The sequence below is a fragment of the Homo sapiens genome, chromosome 2 (genome assembly GCF_000001405.40).
Source record: "Homo sapiens chromosome 2, GRCh38.p14 Primary Assembly".
NCBI lineage: Eukaryota > Metazoa > Chordata > Mammalia > Primates > Hominidae > Homo > Homo sapiens.
The window spans coordinates 187,340,331-187,363,219 of record NC_000002.12 but is presented as its reverse complement, the minus strand read 5'-3'; the positions used below and the strand labels follow the sequence as shown (position 1 = coordinate 187,363,219).

Here is a 22,889-nt window from a genome sequence, read left to right as displayed (position 1 = left end):
ATTGAGAAATATTTACCTTTCTACATTGGAATATAGCTACATATACTCTACAGAGTATTCCCTCAGAGTATTCTCAGTATTCCCCAAGATACAGAGTGAACATAAAAAAGTGTAATAATTTCTTTGCTTCAATTATTTATACATGTACACATATCTTCACTTCATTTTATAGCTGTAGAGTCCTCTTGCTATGGCACATAATAGTTTATCACTACATAATATTTATTCAATCCAAATGAAAAACTCAAAGCAATGAACTCTGCGTAATTCGAAAAATAGTACACGCACATGGAAAATTTAAATAAATTATATTTTTTGTATCAGGCTGACTTTAAAAAGTCAATAAAACCAGGAAAAGAATGAATTGTACATATCCTACATAAGATTAAACTTCATAGCATAATGTTTTAAAAACTACAGTGTTCAGTCTCAATAAATATTTATAAATTGTTGCCTTACAGGCCATATTTTTCAAACAGTTTAAAATTTACTTATCTAAATGTAAATATTTTGTGTAAGCTATATGCATATGTAAAATGTTTAAATTAAAATATCTGCATACATAAACATACATTCAAATTTTAAAAATTATCTGCTTTTATAATGTTTATGGGATATTTACTATATTTTGTGTGTGTGTGTGTCTATATAAAGTGTTTTTTAAAAGAAAAAATTATCTAGTGACTGAAATCAGGAAGGGAAAGAATTTTTACCAAGTGGGTCAATAAACAGTCTCATGTGTGTTTTATGTGTGTTTTTAGAGTAATTTTCAAAATTCTAAAAGTCCCTGCATTGTTTGCACCTGTGCATCCAGATTGCTTAATCTTGTATATGTTCCACTCTAAAGTCATTGGATTAGAAAACACACTGGGGTATAATTAGCAACATAAAAATCTGGCTAATGTCCTGCCATTTTAGAGTGAATTTCTGTAAGACAAGGAGATTCAGAGTTTTGTCTTGAAGCTGCAGAGCATGAGATTCTAAATCTCATATTTGTACGCAAAGATGTGTTTAATAAACACATTATAAATTGTCATATATTTTTGTTTTGTCTCTGTTACTAATGCCCTGCATAGAAATATTTTTCTGCAGTATGCTCTTAATTCTTTTTTATTGTAATGGTTTATCGATTAACTTTTTTAATGAAATCAAGAATTAGAAGCCGAATTAAATATAAATACTTAAAAACTCTTTAGATAAAAAGTTGAAGCTGAAATTTATGATTTCTCTCCATATAGTAGACTATCTCATTTTCACCTTTGAGTGAACTTTAATATAATGCTGTGTTTTACATACAGGTACATTATTTAAAATTTAATGTTACGTATTCTGCAGATACATTTAATGAATAAATAGGTTTTACAAATATCCTTTAGTTAGGAGGCATCGTATATAATGAAAACAAAATTGGAATGTTCAGGTTGTAGATTTGATTGATGTATAAATATTAGCAAATCATTTAACTTCTCTGGTACTAAGTTTTTTTATCTATAAAATATATGCCTATGATAATGTACACCTCATAGGACTACCGTTAAGAATTAAATAAAACAATATATGTAAAAGTATTTTTAGGCTGACTCCTATGCAGATGCCATTATTACTATTCTGTGATGACCCAATATTAACAATCCAGTGCATTTTCTTTTCAATTTTATTTTTGGTTAAAAAAACTATTTCAAAAATAATGATAATTGCCACTAAACTTTTATTGATTTTCAGACTAGAAACTGGAGCCAATAGGAGTAACAGGTCATGTATTTTTGGGAAAGCTTTAATTGTATTCTCCTGTTTAAGAGTAAACTCACTCTTACTCTTTTGTGTTTTCTTTACTGTAATTTGAATGTCTCTCTTCCTGCCTGTTTAAAAGTAGAGAAGCAAAAATGGAGACCTCAGGAAAAATGGAAGGGAAACCATAATTTTGTCCTCCTTTTACTTACACAAAGCCCTCAGACTCCATATTTGGATAGGATAACCTATGGATGTATTAGATTATTTCTTAATAAGCATTTGCATGAGGAGCATGTAATATGCAAACTTTTCAAGTATTTGGGCACTTTTAATGAATTGGTTTTAAAATTACTATTATTTCCAACAGAATGTAACAGTCAAGGGATTCATGATGATATAAATAAGTGTAAAGTTATTTATGTGTGACACTTTTATACTTATAATTACATAACAACAAAAACACATTCAGAAAATACACATTCACTAAATAAAGTAGATTTAGAAGTTACACTTTTTTTCTGGAAGATATACCATTATCAATCTTTGGAGTCTGTGGCTAAAAACTAAAGGCATCATTACATGAATACGAAGACTGGCATTCCACAAATCCTAATCATTAATGTATAGGATTTTGTGTGTAGGGGAGAATGTTCCATGTTTCCTGAGCTAAACTAGAGTATTGCTTTACATGTGAATTCATAAACAAGTAAATATTGGGGTTTTTTTTTTCCTCACAGGTTAGTTGCAAAGTGTCCCAGTTCATTCATCTTTACCTGATGGGCTGTAATTACTTTTGGATGCTCTGTGAAGGCATTTACCTACACACACTCATTGTGGTGGCCGTGTTTGCAGAGAAGCAACATTTAATGTGGTATTATTTTCTTGGCTGGGGTAAGTGTTATTATACATACTTGTTGATTCAGTGGATTAAAGAAGCCTTTGGAGGATGCCAGGTTCCTTTGTAATATGAATATACCAATGAGTAATCATTTTTAAAGAATATCAGGTGATTAACTTTTGCTTATTCTTGTAAATTGCAACATTTTAAGCAAAGTATCACTGACTCATCCATTGTTTTCAGTAGTCACAAGTCAATATATAATAGTGTCTTTTTTTCTATTGAATATGCCAATGAATAGGGTATCTTGGCTGAATATGTAGTGACTAAAACAATAGAAGTAGAATCATAAATTAAAGATTTAGTCTTTGTACCATTCTGAATATTCATTTTTGCCACGTGTAAAATGAGAGCATTGGGTTCAAACATCTTTGAAGTTCCATTCTAAAAATATTTGTTTAAAATATTGTCATTTTACGGTAAGAGTAGAGGGATTAGTAATTGAATAAAGGCATGCAAAAGATTTATTTTTTCTACACAATATCCTGATGTGGTATTATTCACAAAGCAAACAGTGATATACTTCTGACATATTAAAAATAACTAGAATAATACAAAATATGAAGTGCAGAAATGAATTTAACAGGACTAGTTTCCAGAAACAAAACTGAAGTTGTACTTATCTATTATCATCTATCTACCCTATCATCTATCTATCTATATCTCTATCATCTATCTAAACTATCTATATCTAGAAAGAAATACATATACAGAGGTGTATATATACACACACACGCACACCCACAATTTTAGTGTATTCTGATTAACTTTATAAAGCATTGCTTAATTACATATTTGGAAGAGCTGATTTAGAATGTTCAAAGGCTGCCAAATTTTTGGTACATAAATTAATCACTTTTTTTCTTCTTCTCTTCTTCAAATAATGGCTTACTAGTAGTAATCTCTCTCATAGTGGAAGTTCTTGTGATTCTCAACTTTTTTCCACATCTGATAATGTACCAAATGTTGGCCAATTCCATCTCACAGAAAGTACACGAATGCTGAATTTCTTCTAATCCTTGTGGCTTAGGAAACACATCTTAAGAGTTAAGCTCTGAAGTCCACTGATTCAAAATGACTTATGAATTATAGTAGAAGAAAACATACACACATAAACACACAAACACAAAAATGTAAATACCTAATACTTTATAATGTGTATTGTTGATGATACAAATAATGTTTATTCAACAAATATATAGTGGCTAGTTTTTTTGCTCCTAGAGTATCTTTGAATTTTTGTATTTAATTACATATTTTTGAAATACCATCTGTAGAAAAAATGCCTATTTATTTTCTTTTTTTTTTGTTATTACAGGATTTCCACTGATTCCTGCTTGTATACATGCCATTGCTAGAAGCTTATATTACAATGACAAGTAAGAAAATCTCTTTTTATTATTTCTACTGGAATAATGTAAAATAAAAATTTTCAACATAATGTTATTATGTTTTCTCTAGTTGCTGGATCAGTTCTGATACCCATCTCCTCTACATTATCCATGGCCCAATTTGTGCTGCTTTACTGGTATGTAACAAATTCTCCTTTCCTTATCATTGCTCACATTTCAACTTTATTTCTGAATCATCTGGCCTATGGTATCCTTCAGGGTCCCAGTGGACACAGATGGACATGCATGTTCACAGTGCTTAAATGAATAGCGTTTAGTGAAGGTATCATATCTGATGTATGCGCAGGAAAGGCAAAGGAACTAATTAGTAAGGGATGGTGAGCCATTAGGGACCAACAATGGAATGCTGTTATCACAGCTAGACCTGAAGAGAGAAATGTTAGTGCAGTGAAATGAGCATTGGGAGGAGTCACCCAGTAAGAGATCTGATCTTGAGTAGAGAAAAACAACCACTGCCAAAACCACAGCCTGGCAGAATAGAAGCAGCAGAAACAAAGACTCAAATTTATCTTTATTCCCATACTCTTATCTTTTGGTTTTTCCAATTAGCCAGATGCAGCAAATGTCTCAGGGCAAGGAAGTCTGGGTGAAGCTGTTCACAGACATCATCCTCCTGTGGCACAGAGAGGAATAGAGGATGAATCTAGCAGGGGGGGGTGGGAGGTGACAAATAAGAAAAAACAAAATACCTATGCAAATTTTACATTATAATTATTATCAGTTAATGTGAGTGCATGAATTAGACATTTTAGTGTAATTGCAGGAAAACAGAAGTCACATTCGATGCTTTTATTACACTATTATTATTTTTATTATTTTAATTGAAAAAAGGTCTTGCTCTGTTGCCCAGACTAGAGTGCAGTAGAATGATCACAGCTCACTGCAGCCCCCAACTCCTGGGTTTAAGGGATCCTCCCACCTCAGGCTCTTGAGAAGCTAAGACTATACGTATACACTACTATGCTTGGATAATTTTTAAAAATTTTTTTTTATAGAGACAGGATCTCACTATGTTGCCCAGGCTGGTCTTGAACTCTTGGGCTGCAGTGATCCTTCTGCCGTGGCCTCCACAACTGCTGGGATTACAAGTGTATTACATTATTTGAATGAGAAAGTAAATTAATACAAACTAGCAATCTAGCATGCTTTGTCTCAGAGAGTATTAGAGATCATAGTGCAATTACAGTCCTTAGGAGTGGTATTTTAGTTACAGCTGCTATTCATTTTGTTGTTGTTGTTGTTATACTTTAAGTTCTGGGATACATGTGCAGAACGTGCAGGTTTGTTACATACATATGCATGTGCCATGGTGGTTTGCTGCACCCGTCAACCTGTCATTTGGGTCTTTTTTTTTCTTTCATTGTTGTTGTTGTTTTTATTATTATTATACTTTAAGTTTTAGGGTACATGTGCACAATGTGCAGGTTAGTTACATATGTATACATGTGCCATGCTGGTGCGCTGCACCCACTAACTCGTCATCTAGCATTAGGTATATCTCCCAATGCTGTCCCTCCCCCCTCCCCCGACCCCACAACATAGGTGGGAATTGAACAATGAGAACACATGGACACAGGAAGGGGAACATCACACTCTGGGGACTGTCATTTGGGTTTTAAGCGCCACATGCATTATGTATTTCTCCTAATGCTATCCCTCCCCTCACCCCCACCCCCCGACAGGCCCCAGTGTATGATGTTCCCCTCCCTATGTCCATATTTTCTCATTGTTCAACTCCCACTTATGAGTGAGAACATGCAATGATTGGTTTTCTGTTCCTGTGTTAGTTTGCTGAGAATGATCATTTCTAGCTTCATCCATGTCCCTGCATAGGACATGAATTCATTCTTTTTATGGCTGCATAGTATTCCATGGTGTATATATGCCACATTTTCTTTATCCAGTCTATCATTGATGGGCATTTGGTTTGGTTTCAAGTCTTTGCTATTGTGAATAGTGCTGCAAGAAAACATACGTGTACATGTGTCTTTATAGTAGAATGATTTATAATCCTTTGGGTATATACCCAGTAATGGGATTGCTGGGTCAAATGGTATTTCTGGTTCTAGATCCTTGAGGAGTCACCATACTGTCTTCCACAATGGTTGAACTAATTTACACTCCCACCAACATTGTAAAAGTGTTCTTATTTCTCCACATCCTCTCCAGCATCTGTTGTTTCCTGACATTTTAATGATCACCATTCTAACTGGTGTGAGATGGTATCTCATTGTGGTTTTGATTTGCATTTCTCTAATGACCAGTCATGATTAGCTTTTTTTCATATGTTTGTTGGCTGCATAAATGTCTTCTTTTGAGAAGTGCCTGTTCATATCATTTGCCCACTTTTTGATGGCGTTGATTGTTTATTTCTTGTAAATTTGTTTAAGTTCTTTGTAGATTCTGGATATTAGCCCTTTGTCACATGGGTAGATTGCAAAAAATTTCTCCCATTCTGTAGGTAGCCTGTTCACTCTGGTGATTGTTTTGCTGTGCAGAAGCTCTTTAGTTTAATTAGATCCCGTTTGTCAATTTTGGCTTTTGTTGCCATTGCTCTTAGTGTTTTAGTCATGAAGTCTTTGCCCATGCCTATGTCCTGAATGATATTGCCTCGCTTTTCTTCTAGGGTTTTTATGGTTTTAGGTCTTACTTTTAAGTCTTTCATGCATCTTGAGTTATTTTTTGTATAAGGTATAAAGAAAGGGTCCAGTTTCAGTTTTCTACATATGGCTAGCCAGTTTTCCCAACACCATTTATTTTATAGGGAATCCTTTCCCCATTGCTGGTTTTTGTCAGGTTTGTGAAAGATCAGATGGTTGTAGAAGTGTGGTGTTATTTCTAAGGCCTCTGTTCTGTTTAATTGGTCTATGTATCTGTTTTGGTACCAGTACCATGCTGTTTTGGCTAATGTGGCCTTGTAGTATGGTTTGAAGTCAGGTAGCGTGACGCCTCCAGCTTTGTTCTTTTTGTTTAGGATTGCTTAGTCTTGGCTATACAGGCTCTTTTTTTGGTTCCATATGAAACGTAAAGTAGTTTTTCCTAATTCTGTGAAGAAAGTCAATAGTAGCTTGATGGGGATAGCATTGAATCTATAAATTACTTTGGGTAGTATGGCCATTTTCACGATATTGATTCTTCTATGTATGAGCATGGAATGTTTTTTCATTTGTTTGTGTCCTCTCCTATTTCCTTGAGCAGTGGTTTGTAGTTCTCCTTGAAGAGGTCCTTCACTTCCCTTGGAAGTTGTATTCCTAGATATTTTATTCTCTTTGTAGCATTTGTGATTGAGAGTTGACTCATGATTTAGCTCTCTGTTTGTCTATTATTGTTGTATAGGAATGCTTGTGATTTTTGCACATTGATTTTGTATCCTGAGACTTTGCTAAAGTTGCTTATCAGCTTAAGGAGTTTTTTGGCTGAGTCGATGGGGTTTTCTAAATATACAGTTATGTCATCTGCAAACAGACAATTTGACTTCCTCTCCTCCTATTCAAATACCCTTTATTTACAGCTGCGATCAAGTTATTTATATATGTGCTTGTGTATGTATGTGATATTTTTCATGTAAAATTCAAAGCTTCCTCATTCGTCTCTTCAGACTCTTTTTAAATACAGATATTCTATTATTTAACTATATTTGCTAGCTGCAGTTTAGTATATGGTTGCGTTGGATCACTGTTCAAACCATTCTCAAAATGTATCATTGTTAAGCCATTCTTATAGAATTTATTATGACTTTCATAACATTTTTTGATATACCTTAATGTAGATTATAGTGAAAATTTCAAAGGCAGAGGCACTTGCCTCCCTTCCTTCTCCTACATTCTAAGGGCATGAGTGACATACTGTGTTTAAGTTGTACCCTGAGACTGCCTGGCTTTGCATTGTGTGCATAAAAGAGTCAGCACTGAATCCTGGCTCTACCACAGCTGCCTGTGTATCATCTCAGAGCAAGTTTTCTGTTTTATTTTGTTTTTAACCTCTCTGTGTCTTTGTTTTCTCATCTGTAATGATGGAATAATAAGAATATATACCTCACAGGGTATTATAAGGATTAAATGAGATGCTTTCTGTTAAGTGATCTGGCACAGTTAGTGCATAGAATATTATAAATTCTTGAAAAAATGCCTTCCAAGTTTCCTCACTTGTAGTTTCTGCATGATACCATGCTTCTACTCTGAGGAGAGCTTGAAGAAATTATAATATATCGTTTGGGCTACCCAGGAGATTCCAGAACAAATGCAAGACAATATTTTATTACAAAAGATCTGGCTGCACAGAGGGGTACATGATTCAGACTTCTAAATCAGTAAGGTTCAGGAAGTGAAAGCACCTAGCAAATGCAAAATGTAACGTCATCTACACTATCCTTGGAAACATCTGTTCATGTAAACTTTAAGGAAGAAGAGTAAGGATGAAATACAGGAATATAGCCCATCAAGCTGGTCAGTAAGAAAAGAAGCGAAAATCCACATTATTTGCCTAAAACTTTCCCATCTTGTTGGCCTAAAACAAGATTAGGAACCTATTTTTCTGTCCGGATAAATCATTCTGTCCTTGTTTAAGCTCCAGAGCTCCTTCTTGGTCCTGGCCAATTCCAAGCTCCTCAGAAGAGCCCTAGTAATTGTTCTCATGGTTATCATATGTTTTTGCACAATTTTTATAAATAAGATATTTTAATCACAAGTCATTCCACTCAGACTTCCTCCATCACATTTCCATGTGAGCAGGGTGGTACTGGAGTGACTACAGCATTTTTGAGATCCTGTTGAGGGGAAGTTGAGAGATGATACATTTAATTTGGGTTCAGTGACAGATATTTAGGTGACTTCAGTGCATAGTTAAGTGATTGTCTGGGAATGACTTCCAGAAACTGTCCTACAGCCACTGTATAGATTTACCCCAGTTCCTGTCATGACCCAAGCGTGGTACTGTGATATCAAAATAGCCTGATGGGCCTACTAGCTATGTAAACTTTATGAGTATGTCAGTTAAAGGTTTCTTCTTTTCTACTGAACTAGTTTTGCTCAAGGGTGGGTGAAATTCAGACATAGTTCTTCTAAAATTTAAAATTCTTCTTTTATTTTTGCTTATAGTAAATGGAAATATTTACAGAAAATAAAGTAAGATGAAGGGATTATAATTCTCAAAACTATGTTGTGTGGAAAAATAGCATCCAATTCATTCTAAGACAATTATTTATAAAATAGCTAATAGAATAAACTCTATTGTCAACTCTAGTTTCTAGTTTCACATTTTAAATCAGACTTCCCATGTGGAGAAGCACTTTGCATTTAAAAATTTTCATATAATTGGGATCATCTAAATTGCAATGTTTCTACTGTCTTTTTATAGTTTATGATTTAATGTATTAAGATTATAAAATATTTGATATTAAGCAGATAAAAGAGCATTATTATCTTTTTTTAAAGAGCAATGGATGCTTAAGAAGGGAATATATTAGGATGAGTGGAATAACAGCTGACATGTTGATTTGTCACATTTCATTCTCACACCTGTTGAAATGGCTTATTCTGCTTTTGCCTTTATCGTATTTCTGTGTCTGCAAACATTGCTTTTCATAGATGTGTTTCCATTAGGATTTTAGTGAGCTGTATATTTTTGAAGCATATGTTCTATTAAATTTTCTAAAAATAGTGGTAGAATATTTTTGTGCCCAGTTATTTTTATGACACATGTGTCCATTTAGCAAATGCAGGCTCTCTGTTAATTCTTTTCTATAATAAATGGGAAACTACTATTTTTTGCAATTTTTAAACTGTGTGGATATAAATTATATTTGGTGCATAGATTGAAAATTTAAGATTATTAAACAAAGGGCAGATGCCAGAACTAAGGGTGAGGAAAAAGAAAAGAGAATAGCAATTAGCCCCTATGGAGCTCTTCTGGAATTAATATTCATGATTCTATGGAAGGCATAAGGAATGGGCATAGAGAAAATGGACCAAAGTAAAAGATATTGACTGGGTGAAAATAAGAAAGAGATAAACTCTAACTTGGGTGAAAATAAGAGAAAGATAAACTTGTATTATGCGAGAGAAAGAGAAATAAATATGTTTCAGTAGGACCCTGTTTGCTGAGTCACATTAGAGTGTCAAAGGTTTATGTCTCCCATCCAAAGAAACTACTGTCTCTTCGAGAAAGTTGTTGAGGCACAAAAATAGTGAATATTATGTCATTGCAGACAGTAATTAACAGGAAGTCTTATAGAATGTCAAATTATTTTAGCTCTAGAATGACTGGGGTTGAATATCAGCTGGTTCAAAGTTCCCTCATAAGTAAAAGAGGATTACAGTGATACTTTGGAGAGGTGTTGTAAAGATTATTGTTACTAGAAGAAACAGGAAAGTTTTTGGTTTGAAAGATGAAAATGGTTATTATGGTATAATATACATTTAGAAAGTATGTCATATGGACATGATAAAGAGGGGATGCTTTAAAAATTAGCATTTTTCCATAAACAATTATTTTCTTTGATATGAAAATGTTCAAAATCTTTAGTTTTTAGACCACAGATTTTTTTAATTGCACGTGAAAATGAGCTGAGAAAAACTGAAATATTCTTCAACTGAATATGTTCCACAGTAATTATACCATAATTTAATTTTACTTTTTTAAAACTTGTTTATTAAAATTGATGTACTTGTTAAATTGATAAATCACAATTCCAGAAATATAAATTAATGCCTTAGGCAATAATACCCTTTAAAAATATTCTTGTACATTAAAAATATTTTAAGATTTATAAAATTGGAGATACTTGAATAATGCTTCTTAATATTAAATATGAAATGATTTTCAGATGCCATTTAATTTCGTTTTTAGGTGAATCTTTTTTTCTTGTTAAATATTGTACGCGTTCTCATCACCAAGTTAAAAGTTACACACCAAGCGGAATCCAATCTGTACATGAAAGCTGTGAGAGCTACTCTTATCTTGGTGCCATTGCTTGGCATTGAATTTGTGCTGATTCCATGGCGACCTGAAGGAAAGATTGCAGAGGAGGTATATGACTACATCATGCACATCCTTATGCACTTCCAGGTATGGCATTCTTGATAAGAAGGCAGCTTGAGAAGTTTGGAATTAAATATACATATAGCTTTGGTTTACTCCTGACTACTTGTACAGCTATTTGATTACAAATACATGTATCTTTCCATTTGGATTCAGATCATTCTATTTTTCTTTTACAGGGTCTTTTGGTCTCTACCATTTTCTGCTTCTTTAATGGAGAGGTATGATAATTGATTTTATTCCTTCTATTATTTTATATTTGCTATCTGTCTATCTATCCATGTATTTAAATGAGATAAAATTATAAATTCCCCAGGAACAACCATGTTAAATTCTGTTTCCATCAGGGAAAGAACCATAGAATCTCTTACCATAGGTTTAACTCTCCTTCTCAAATGCTCAGGTCATATTGGAGTTCAAAGCCAGGGAAAAGTCAACCTCACTTAAAAATATTTCAAATGCTATTCATCTAATCTTTTGAGATACCTTTGAGTCCCATTAAGTCTGAGCTTTTCCCCAGATACAGTGCCAGGCAATCCCAAATCTCATAGAACATACACTCTAATAGGAAATAAGAAATAGGATCATCTCATTTTCCCTCTTTCTCTTTTTTGCCTGTCTTACAATGTAGCCTATGGAAACAACTTTATGGCAAATACGAAAGGATTTTAAAAATTAAACTCTTGGTTATACAGGGAAGAAATTCAATGGGTTAGGAAATTTAGAAGAGAATGCTCTAATTCATAACATGACCATGTACTCTTCAGTACTTCTAGATTTTTATCCATGCGTTTCCTACTTGGGAAGTTTCAGGCATTTTGAAAGCTGGTAACATATTTCTTTTTTTTTTTTTTTTGAGACGGAGTCCCGCTGTTTAGCCCAGGCCGGATTGCAGTGGCGCAATCTCGGCTCACTGCAAGCTCCGCCTCCCAGGTTCACGCCATTCTCCTGCCTCAGCCTCCCGAGTAGCTGGGACTACAGGCGCCCGCCACCGCGCCCGGCTAATTTTTTGTATTTTTAGTAGAGACGGGGTTTCACCGTGTTAGCCAAGATGGTCTCGATCTCCTGACCTTGTGATCCGCCCGCCTCGGCCTCCCAAAGTGCTGGGATTACAGGCGTGAGCCACCGCGCCCAGCCAACATATTTCTTATGCATACAAATGTGTTATAGCTCAGTAATCTGAGCTCTATTGACTTAGCTCTTTATATGTTTTTAATCTGCTCGACACAATTTAACCTGTAGGAGGATTTTGGCAAAATTGAACAAAGTTTAGAAATCCAGACAGCAGCTGAGTGAGACACAGACACTTGATAATGTGAAGCTTATCATAAAGCTTCAGATGGGGAACACATGGGACCAGTTGGTATAACCTATGACAACCATTCCTATAAAACAAATGAACATTGGAAATCATGCACACATCATGAAAAACTATAACATGTTATTTGCGCTTGCTTAAGTAATATTTTTACTTCCTCATCTTGACATATAATAAAACTCAATGTTTAGTTTTTAATTAAAATATATCTCAAGTTCAACACGTATTTATTTATATTATTATTATTTATCTATATTTATTTATTTGTAATGAGGTGTAGAGTTGCCACACATTGTAGACTATATTTCATACATTTAAGTGGTACTTCCATAATTCTTCTGCTATACAGAAGACAAGAGCAACTTTTTCTGAAATCAGAGAAGCATAGACAGAATGCAGTTACAAAAAATAGATAAATCATTTGTTTGATAGTAAAATTCAAATAGATTTTATTATATACCTCTATAAATTTAATGTTATATACACTGAATTAGACAACCCTAAATGCTACTTGTATAGGATGTAATAATTAAATATAGATGAGAGTGATATGGACAACATGCTAAAGAACATGCATGAAATAGGAAAGGTAGACCTCTGTATCTACAGAAACAGATTTTAATTCCATGAACTAATTTTTAAATATTCAAAACACACTCACTAGTAAAATATTTTGTAACAGGAGGCAGTGTAGAATAAACACAGCAATGCATTTAATCACCAAAGATGCTACTTTTCATCTTGGCTGTGATATTTTGGCAAATGCTGGCAAATTTCAGGAGCCTGTGTCTATCTTTCTTAAAGGGAAATTAAAGCAAGTTCTCTACACAGGTCTCAGAAAAATAAATACAAGCTAAGAAAGATAAAGTTTTTAGCACCATGCCCCACTTCATGAGATTCTCAGTATACTTATTATTTGATTTGTCAAATCACTTATTTTCAAAAACACATGTGCCAACAGGAACATTAATCATTTTGGATCAAAATCCCAAATTGGCTCTTTTATTTAGAAAGAGTGCCCAGGGAATATCTAAAGTAATGCCTAACACTCCTGTTACACTCGATCTGTGTAAACAAAAGGGACACAGAACCTTGATCTTCTGCCATGTCCTAAAATTGAGAAAATTTTGACATTGGAAAATTACAATAATACACAATGTTTGAGCTAGGTTGTTCCCAAATCTTTCAGTTCCTCACAACATTTCTAATATCTGTTCCTTTTCTTCATCTCTGGAGATACAATCCCTGTTTCAGTATGATTCATTTCTCTTCTTAAGAAATACTGTGATCCCTCCCTTTTTGTCTCAATGCCTCTTACTTTTTCCCACTCTCATAACATGAAGAAACAACTGCCAAATTCATTTTGTTCCAACTATGTCATGTACTTCTTAAAATCATTTGCTCAGGCTTAGTTTCCTTCTTGTTTTCCACATTAGGTCAAATGCCTGCCTTTAGCTTAATATTTGTGTTTTTTTCTTTCCCACCTTTTATGCACTTTTTAGCTAACGTCTTGCTATTAGCATTTCTCACTAGTTAAATAAATGTGGCTTGACAAGTGCTTGGATTACTTTCATTTTATCCCTAGTGCCCTCAGACAAAAATGTGCACTGTGATCATAAACTAGGGACTCTAGTCATCAGAAGGTTATATTTAACAACACCTGAGGGTAGATATTCCATAAGATGAGCAAAAAGTTTTGTTGAGGACAGACAATTAAACCCAAATTCTTTCATGAGAACTACGTAGAATTTTTATAAAAGTTTCGTAAATATTTTAAATTGATTCCCATTAAGGAGTATAAAGTTAGTTCCTTATTGGGTGTTAATGGGTATATAAAGTTGTAATGTTACATTCTAAACATTTGCCTTACTACTTATACATGGTCATGCATAAAACAATAAAAACATTCATATCTTTAATAACACCCAGCTATCTTCCCTTACAATGGAAATTTGCTCCTACTGATTTTTTCTCATTAAAAGTTTATTAAGAGTAGCTGCTTTAATGTCGTATTTAACAGGTGTGATATTGTATTAGAGGAAGCAGAAGAAAAATGTAACATCCTTAGAGCAAATAACATAAACAAACAAGTCTACAAGGCCTGTGGATCTTTAATTAGGTTTATTTTTAACTATAGTAAGACCTCACAGTTCATGAAATTGGCTTTCTATGGTTTTTCTGATGATTTAGTTGCAAGGAAGAAATAGAGTGATGACCTTAATCAAAGTAGATATTTTAAGAGCAAACAGTCATATATTTCAATAGCCATTTTCCTTCCAAATTGAATTTAAGCTTTCCTTTTTAAGACTATAAGTACTAGACTCACAGCTAAGATATTACTTCCTCTCAGCTTTTTCTCATACTTTATATAGAATTTTTTATACAAAGCTATATGCCACTTCCCCTCAACCAGAAACTATATTGATTACATACTCAACCAATTCAGCATTTAGTAACAAAATTAGGAGAAGTTTATGAAACAAAAAATAAGGATCAAAAATATTTCTCATCAGATGTATCTAGATAATTGGTCAATGGTCATTTTTATTTTGAATCTCTGAATATGTATTTAAAATTCACAATCTGAAGCCATTCAATTTGTAGTTTGCTCATGATCTTGAGGTTGTTACATATGCAGATGTTATTTTTAAATTATCTGAATTTAGATATTTTATACGGAGGATTTAGAATTATATTACTAAATTGAGAGGAAAGTTTAATTTTTGCAAGATAAATAAATTTGTTGCCTTATAAATGCTTTTATTTTCAAAGCATATTTACATGAATATAAATTGTTTTCTTCAGATATGGTTACCATATATTTTTTAAATTGAGCTTGAAAGGGCTGAAGTTACTGAACTTCATCATAATGTAACTTTCAATACGAAGTTATTTCATTTTAATTATATAATTTTTGAACTATATAGTAGAGTGAAATTAACTGATAATTTTAATACCTCATTTAATTTTACCTAAACACATTGTTGGCTTTATATTTGCTCCTTCTTTTTTCCTACATGAAATGAGACAATAAAACTTTGAGTTTATTTTAAGTGACAGACTATAAGATACTTTAACAGGAACTCTGAAGTATCCTGTAAAGCTGCAGACATCCTGGAACACCTATTTTCTATAGAATGTTTGTAATTGGAGGAATTGAGGTTTTGTGTGTGTGTGTATGTGTGTGTGTGTGTGTTTTAATCCATTAGACTAGGAAATAACAAGAGAGAAGTAAGCCCTTTTTAAAGATTTAATATTGATTTGTATACATGGATATAGTGAAGAGAAAGTTGAGGAATTCTATATAAGTAGTAGAAAGTTAAACAATTATACCTCAGTACGTAGAAAATGAATTACCAGAAAATTGCTGTGAGATGCTCAGATTCCCTTTGGAAAAGCACTGAAAGAGCCAAAGAGCAATAGAGAGCTTGGGGAAGACCATTCAAAGCAAACCCACTCTGGGCAGATATAGATCGGGTCACAAGGATTTGGCTAACACATTCATAACCTAAAAGCAGGCTGCTCCAAGCCAGTGTGCTCACTCATCAGACATGGAAAAGTCCTCAACGTACTTGAGCTAGAGATGTATTTAAATGTTCTCATTTGTGCCCATTGACTGACAATGAAGAAAATTCACTCTTGTGCCTTACATTCCATTATGACCAATATTTTACTGTATAGGACCCACCTACCCCTGATCTCTAGCTTCAAACAGAGGGGAAGGAAGTCATTAAACTGCAAATTTATTCAGCAGAAGAGGATTCAAATATATAAAAATGGAGTGGTTACATTCCTAAATTTATTTTTCACAATATTCACCAGATTTATAATTATTTGTTCAACACTTTTCTTTCCTCTATGTAGTAAGCTCCATGAAGACAAATATCATGCTCCCTTTTTTAGAATGTAGCACAATTTCTGGCATATGGGAGTCACTCAGAAACAAAGGTTGCTGCTACTGCCCTGCTGCTGCTGCTGCTGATTTGTATTCTTCGTATCCTAACTTCTTTTCTTTTGTGTATCTTTCGCTTATCCTGTCACGAATTGTCTTCTCATTCTATTAATAAAGACATTAATATAAAACTCAATGTTGCACATGAAATCTTGTAAATGGGGGTCCAGATTACCTATTTGTTTGGCAACAATAAATACATATGAATTATAAAAGCTTTGAAGACAAAACATGCCATGAAAAATATTAATGGAATGTAAAGTACAATGTAATTGTAATACATTTCCTAATGTGAAGATGGTACACTTAATTTTTTAAATTAAGAAAATGAAGCTATATTATTCACTGATTAACATAACTTTTTTTAAAAAAGCTCTTCTCCAAGACCTATTTAATTGTGCTTCAAAAACAGTGTCTTCATTTCAATTAATGGGTTGTTCTTGTTCTTTCTGTTTTCCTTTTGATTGATAGGTTCAAGCAATTCTGAGAAGAAACTGGAATCAATACAAAATCCAATTTGGAAACAGCTTTTCCAACTCAGAAGCTCTTCGTAGTGCGTCTTACACAGTGTCAACAATCAGTGATGGTCCAGGTTATAGTCATGACTGTCCTAGTGAACACTTAAATGGAAAAAGCATCCATGATATTGAAAATGTTCTCTTAAAACCAGAAAATTTATATAATTGAAAATAGAAGGATGGTTGTCTCACTGTTTTGTGCTTCTCCTAACTCAAGGACTTGGACCCATGACTCTGTAGCCAGAAGACTTCAATATTAAATGACTTTTTGAATGTCATAAAGAAGAGCCTTCACATGAAATTAGTAGTGTGTTGATAAGAGTGTAACATCCAGCTCTATGTGGGAAAAAAGAAATCCTGGTTTGTAATGTTTGTCAGTAAATACTCCCACTATGCCTGATGTGACGCTACTAACCTGACATCACCAAGTGTGGAATTGGAGAAAAGCACAATCAACTTTTCTGAGCTGGTGTAAGCCAGTTCCAGCACACCATTGCATGAATTCACAAACAAATGGCTGTAAAACTAAACATACATGTTGGGCATGATTCTACCCTTATTGCCCCAAGAGACCTAGCTAAGGTCTATAAACATGAAGGGAAAATTAGCTTTTAGTTTTAAAACTCTTTATCCCATCTTGATTGGGGCAGTTGACTTTTTTTTTGCCCAGAGTGCCGTAGTCCTTTTTGTAACTACCCTCTCAAATGGACAATACCAGAAGTGAATTATCCCTGCTGGCTTTCTTTTCTCTATGAAAAGCAACTGAGTACAATTGTTATGATCTACTCATTTGCTGACACATCAGTTATATCTTGTGGCATATCCATTGTGGAAACTGGATGAACAGGATGTATAATATGCAATCCTACTTCTATATCATTAGGAAAACATCTTAGTTGATGCTACAAAACACCTTGTCAACCTCTTCCTGTCTTACCAAACAGTGGGAGGGAATTCCTAGCTGTAAATATAAATTTTGTCCCTTCCATTTCTACTGTATAAACAAATTAGCAATCATTTTATATAAAGAAAATCAATGAAGGATTTCTTATTTTCTTGGAATTTTGTAAAAAGAAATTGTGAAAAATGAGCTTGTAAATACTCCATTATTTTATTTTATAGTCTCAAATCAAATACATACAACCTATGTAATTTTTAAAGCAAATATATAATGCAACAATGTGTGTATGTTAATATCTGATACTGTATCTGGGCTGATTTTTTAAATAAAATAGAGTCTGGAATGCTATATTTGGTAAATATTTTAAAGACAACCAGATGCCAGCATCAGAAGTCTGTTTGAGAACTAAGAGAACAGAAACATCTATCATAAGATATATTTATTTTAAAAACACAAGGTCACTATTTTATTGAATATATTTGTTTTGATAACTCATACCTTAATAATAGGTGTGTTTGACATATTTCTTTTTTCATTTTGACAATGAACTCACATTCTAATCCAGAAATTTTAAACAACTACTGTGATAAATACCAATCTGCTACTTTTATAGATTTTACCCCATTAAAATATTACTTTACTGACTTTTACTATGTGAAGATATATAGCTTTGGAAATGTCCCAGGCTATTCAAGAAATATAAAAAACTAGAAGGATACTATATATACCATATACAATGCTTTAATATTTTAATAGAGCTACTGTATATAATACAAATTAGGGAAATACTTGAATATATCATTGAGAAAAAATTATTGTCAGATCTTACTGAATTATTGTCAGACTTTATTAAATAAAGATAGAAGAAAACCTTGCTAATGAATTAAAGTGAAATTTGCATGGGATTCAGTTTCTCTAATGTTATTTTCCGCTGAAATCTCTAAAGAACAAGAATGACTTCAATTAGTAAAAGTCAATTTTGGGAAAAGTCATGGGTATCTGTTTTTTAAGTGTGTCAATCTGATTAAAATGGATGAAACAAATTACTCATCATAAGTTGTTTCTTAAGCTGTCAATATGTCAATAGATGGTGAGTTCAGAACTTATTTCAAATTGCTAAGACAAATTATCTAAATTCGTAAGAATTAACATATAGAATGGTCTGGTCAGTACATTTATAATTTATCTATGCATGAAAAAGTATTGTTTTGTTTGAAACATGAATTTCATAGCAAGCTGCCATAGAAAGGAACGCAGGCTGTTCTAGACCTTCAACTGCCTAAATTATACAAAAATTCATTTTAATAAACTCAATTATTAGCTATTTATTATTCAAAGACCCATATTTAAATCCTTTGCTGACCATGTTGACATATATCAGCCTTCTTCTAGACAAACTGTCAACTCTCAACCATCTTGACAGTAGAAGTGACAGTAAAAAATGTTGAATGATCAGAGATTATATTAAAATAAACATGTAATTTTCAAGTATTTTTGTTGTGCTTTTATAATATTAATTCTAGATCAGATTTATTTTATAGCCAGGGTTTGTCTGTTGTAGAGTCTTGAGGCGTAGCAGTCATTCATGATTAATCACTGTTAGTTTTGTACCCATATATTTTTAGAATAGTTTTAAATGTTAGATTTCTCAAAAGCTAAATGCTACTTAATATCTTTGTATCATACTCATAAAGCAAAGTAAATCTGACACTTTTTTTAAAGCAAACTTCTTTGCTGTCAAAAAAATAAATTTGGGGAAATTTCTAGCTTTTAAAATGTAGATCTGCATTTTACTGTGATTACTTGTGAAAGTCATATTTTAATTTTCTAAATTCTAATTTGTCATTTTATTTCCTAAAGTTAATTTCCAATGCATTTATTCATAAAATATTCATTCTGGAATGCAGTGTTTGTTTAAATGTAATCCAATGTATATAGAATTAGTGGTGGCTGTAGTGCTGTATTTATTGCTTATAATTTTTTTTAAATGTGAACTTACTTTTAATTTTCTCTTGGTTTTAATCTGCTAGTAGAAACCACTAGTTATCTGTAAAAATATATTCAAGATATTCTGATCAATTATAACAATTTATGTTATGCCTAGAGTATATCTCTATTTTTTGATTGTATGAAAATATTAAAGTTATGAGTTAAAGTTTATTTTCACTGATATTTACTACAGTGCCAAATAATCTAATTTATAAACATAATTCTTACAGTAATCAATGGGATACTTCTCAAAATTAACAAATCTCTTAACAAAATATATCTTTTGCCCTCTTTAAAGTCTTCAGTAAACCAGTAAATGAATTCAATAAACCAATTAAGAAAAAGTCATGATTTGTTTTTCAAACTAAAAAAATCCAACTATACTACAATGGATGCAAACTCCTTCTTATGCTGAAAGAAGAAAAAGGATGTCTCAAAATAAGAAAATGTTCAGAAATTCATCTCCTTTATCTACTATATTTCATTTTGTAGTTTTGTTTAAATATTAGAAAGAAAAATAAGTATTTAAAGGTAATTTTTAAAGAGGGCATATTCATGGCTCTCACACAAATATAAAATGAAAATGTTTCAAAGATTTCGTTTAACTCATTAATTAATGAAGGAACAAGTAAGATGTTACAAAAATTCAAAGGAGAATTCAAAATATCACACTATATGAGAATATTAAAAATGTTGAAATAAATTTATAAATAAGTGCAAAACCACTCTATCCTTAGGGCAATAATCAGTTGCATTCCACTTAATAACTAATTTTTATTTTTATGATCAATAATAATGTACATCATTTTCTGTTTTCTGGAGAAAATGCCCATTTAAAACACTTGTGTTTTTTTCTTATAATCTCTCCTCCTTGTGATTATACTAATCTCAAAGAAAGAATATTCTTGATTAAAAATATTGCTAGTTTAATAAGGTTTGGCCTATTGTTGAGATAGGTACATGAGAGTGTTAATTACAATATAGACCTCCTCAAGTTGGTTTTACAAATCTAGAACCATAGTGCACTTTTTAACAGCTTCATTGAGATATACTTGACATATCATATAATACTTCATATTCAAAGCAGTTTTTAGTATATTAGTAGAGTATATTTTAATACATCCATAGAGACACGCTACCATCACCAATTTCATTACATTTTTATGACCTTGAGAAGAAACAGTGTATCCTTTAGCCATCACTTCTCTATCCCTCTATCTCTACTTTCATTTCAGCTATAAACATCACTAATTTACATTCTGTCTCAACAGATTTCCCTATTCTAGACTTTCATATGATTGTAATCATATAGTATGTGACCTTTTGTGACTAAATGATTTCACTTATGTTTTTAAAATTCATTCATGTTTTGGCATGTATCAATGTTTCCTTTTATTCCATTGGGTGAACATACCACATTTTATTTATTCATTTGTCTGTTGATGGATATGTTTGTTTTGCTTTTACCTTTTGGTTATTATAAATAATATACCTATAAACATTTGTTTGCAAGTTTTTGTTTGTAAAAAAGTTTTCATTTCTTTTCAGGACATTTGCAAAACAGCCAGATCATTTTACATTCCCACCAGCAGTGTATGAAGGGTTCTGAATTCTCCATTTTTCTCAACACTTGTTATTACCTGTCTTTTTTATTTTAGACATCCTAATGGATGTGAAATGGTACCTGGTAGTTTAATTTTCATTTCTCTGATGGTTAAAGATGTCAAGCATCTATTGGCCATGTGTAATCTTTTTTGGAGGAATATTTATTCAGATTATTGGTCCATTATTAATTTGGTTGTCTTTTTATTATTGATATATATATATATCAATATGTATATATATATAGTCTCACACACTCACATCTGCAAATATATATGTATAGGTCTCTTTTCAGATAATTTGCAAATACTTTCTCCCATTCTGTGAATTGTCTTGTCCCTTTCTTAATTGTGTCCTTTGATGCATAAAAGGTAACAATTATTTATTAAGTACATTTTTTTCTTTTGTTGGTCATGCTTTTAGTGTCACATCTAAGAATCCTTAGCCAAATTCAAAATCATGAAGATTTACTCCTATAAAATCTTCTAAGAAATTTATAGAAAATTATAGGTCATTGATCCATTTTGAGTTAATTTTTGTATGTGGTGTGAGGTAAGGGTCTAGCTTCATATATTTTTGAATGTGGCTATTTGTTCTAGGATCATTTGTTGAAAAGACCATTTTCCCCATTGAAAGGTCTTGGCATCCTTATCAAAAAGCAATCAGCCATAGATTCATGGGTTTATTTTAAAATTCTATTTCATATATATATATATATATATATATATATATATATATATATATATATATATATATATATATATGTCTGTCCTTGTGCTCAAACCACACTGTCATTATTACCTTTGTTTGTAGTGAGTTTGAAATCAGAAAGTATGAATTCTGTTTTATTCTTCTTTTTCACAATTGTTTTTGCTATTCTGGATCTCTTGCAGAATATACTAAATATATACTATAGTATATATACTATAAATATAAATATATAATATAAATATATACATATATATTTAGTAGAGACAGGATTTCACCATATTGGCCAGGCTGGTCTTGAACTGCTGGCCTCAACTGACCCATCAGCTTTGGCCTCCAAAAGTGCTGAGATTTGTGTAGTTTTGATATTAGAGTAATACTGACTTCTTAGAAAGTTATGGAAAGTAGTCCCTTCTCTTCCAGGTTTGCAAGAATTTGTGAATAACTGGTATTAATTCTTCTTTAATAAATTCAGTGGTGAAGCTATCTAGGCCCTAGCCAGATATAGGTAGTTGTCTAGTTACTGATTTAATCTTTACTTAATATAGGTCTATTTAGATTGTCTATTTCTTCTTGAGCCAGTTTCAGTAGTTTGTTTTCTTCTGGAAATTTGTCCATTTCATCTAATTTATCTAATTTGTTAACTATAAAGTACTGAGCAACCACTATGGTTACAAATTTAACTTCTGCCTGGAAGTTTTAAAACGGAATATTGAATTGGATTTTTGAAAGCCTATATTATTTGCTATCTTTGACAGTAATAAACTATGCACAAGAAGTCTATCAGATTTCATCTGCTATGTCTATAAATTTGAATATATT

At 32.4% G+C, this 22,889-nt stretch overlaps 1 protein-coding gene and 1 long non-coding RNA gene across 9 annotated transcripts in view; one reads left to right on the top strand and one right to left on the bottom strand.

The window, feature by feature from the left end:
• The window catches only part of CALCRL (calcitonin receptor like receptor), a 106,289-nt gene extending 85,033 nt beyond the window's left edge, over positions 1 to 21,256 (top strand). For all 6 annotated transcript variants that reach the window (NM_001271751.2, NM_005795.6, NM_001369434.1 and 3 more), the window contains 6 exons: positions 2,469 to 2,622; positions 3,948 to 4,008; positions 4,091 to 4,157; positions 10,888 to 11,106; positions 11,259 to 11,300; positions 16,821 to 21,256. In NM_001271751.2, coding sequence (NP_001258680.1) covers positions 2,469 to 2,622; positions 3,948 to 4,008; positions 4,091 to 4,157; positions 10,888 to 11,106; positions 11,259 to 11,300; positions 16,821 to 17,036 — 759 coding nt within the window. In that variant the 3' untranslated portion in view covers positions 17,037 to 21,256. The remainder of the gene's footprint in view (positions 1 to 2,468; positions 2,623 to 3,947; positions 4,009 to 4,090; positions 4,158 to 10,887; positions 11,107 to 11,258; positions 11,301 to 16,820) is intronic.
• CALCRL-AS1 (CALCRL and TFPI antisense RNA 1) overlaps positions 1 to 22,889 on the bottom strand; it is a 544,253-nt gene that overhangs the window by 184,306 nt on the left and 337,058 nt on the right. The window lies entirely within an intron of this gene.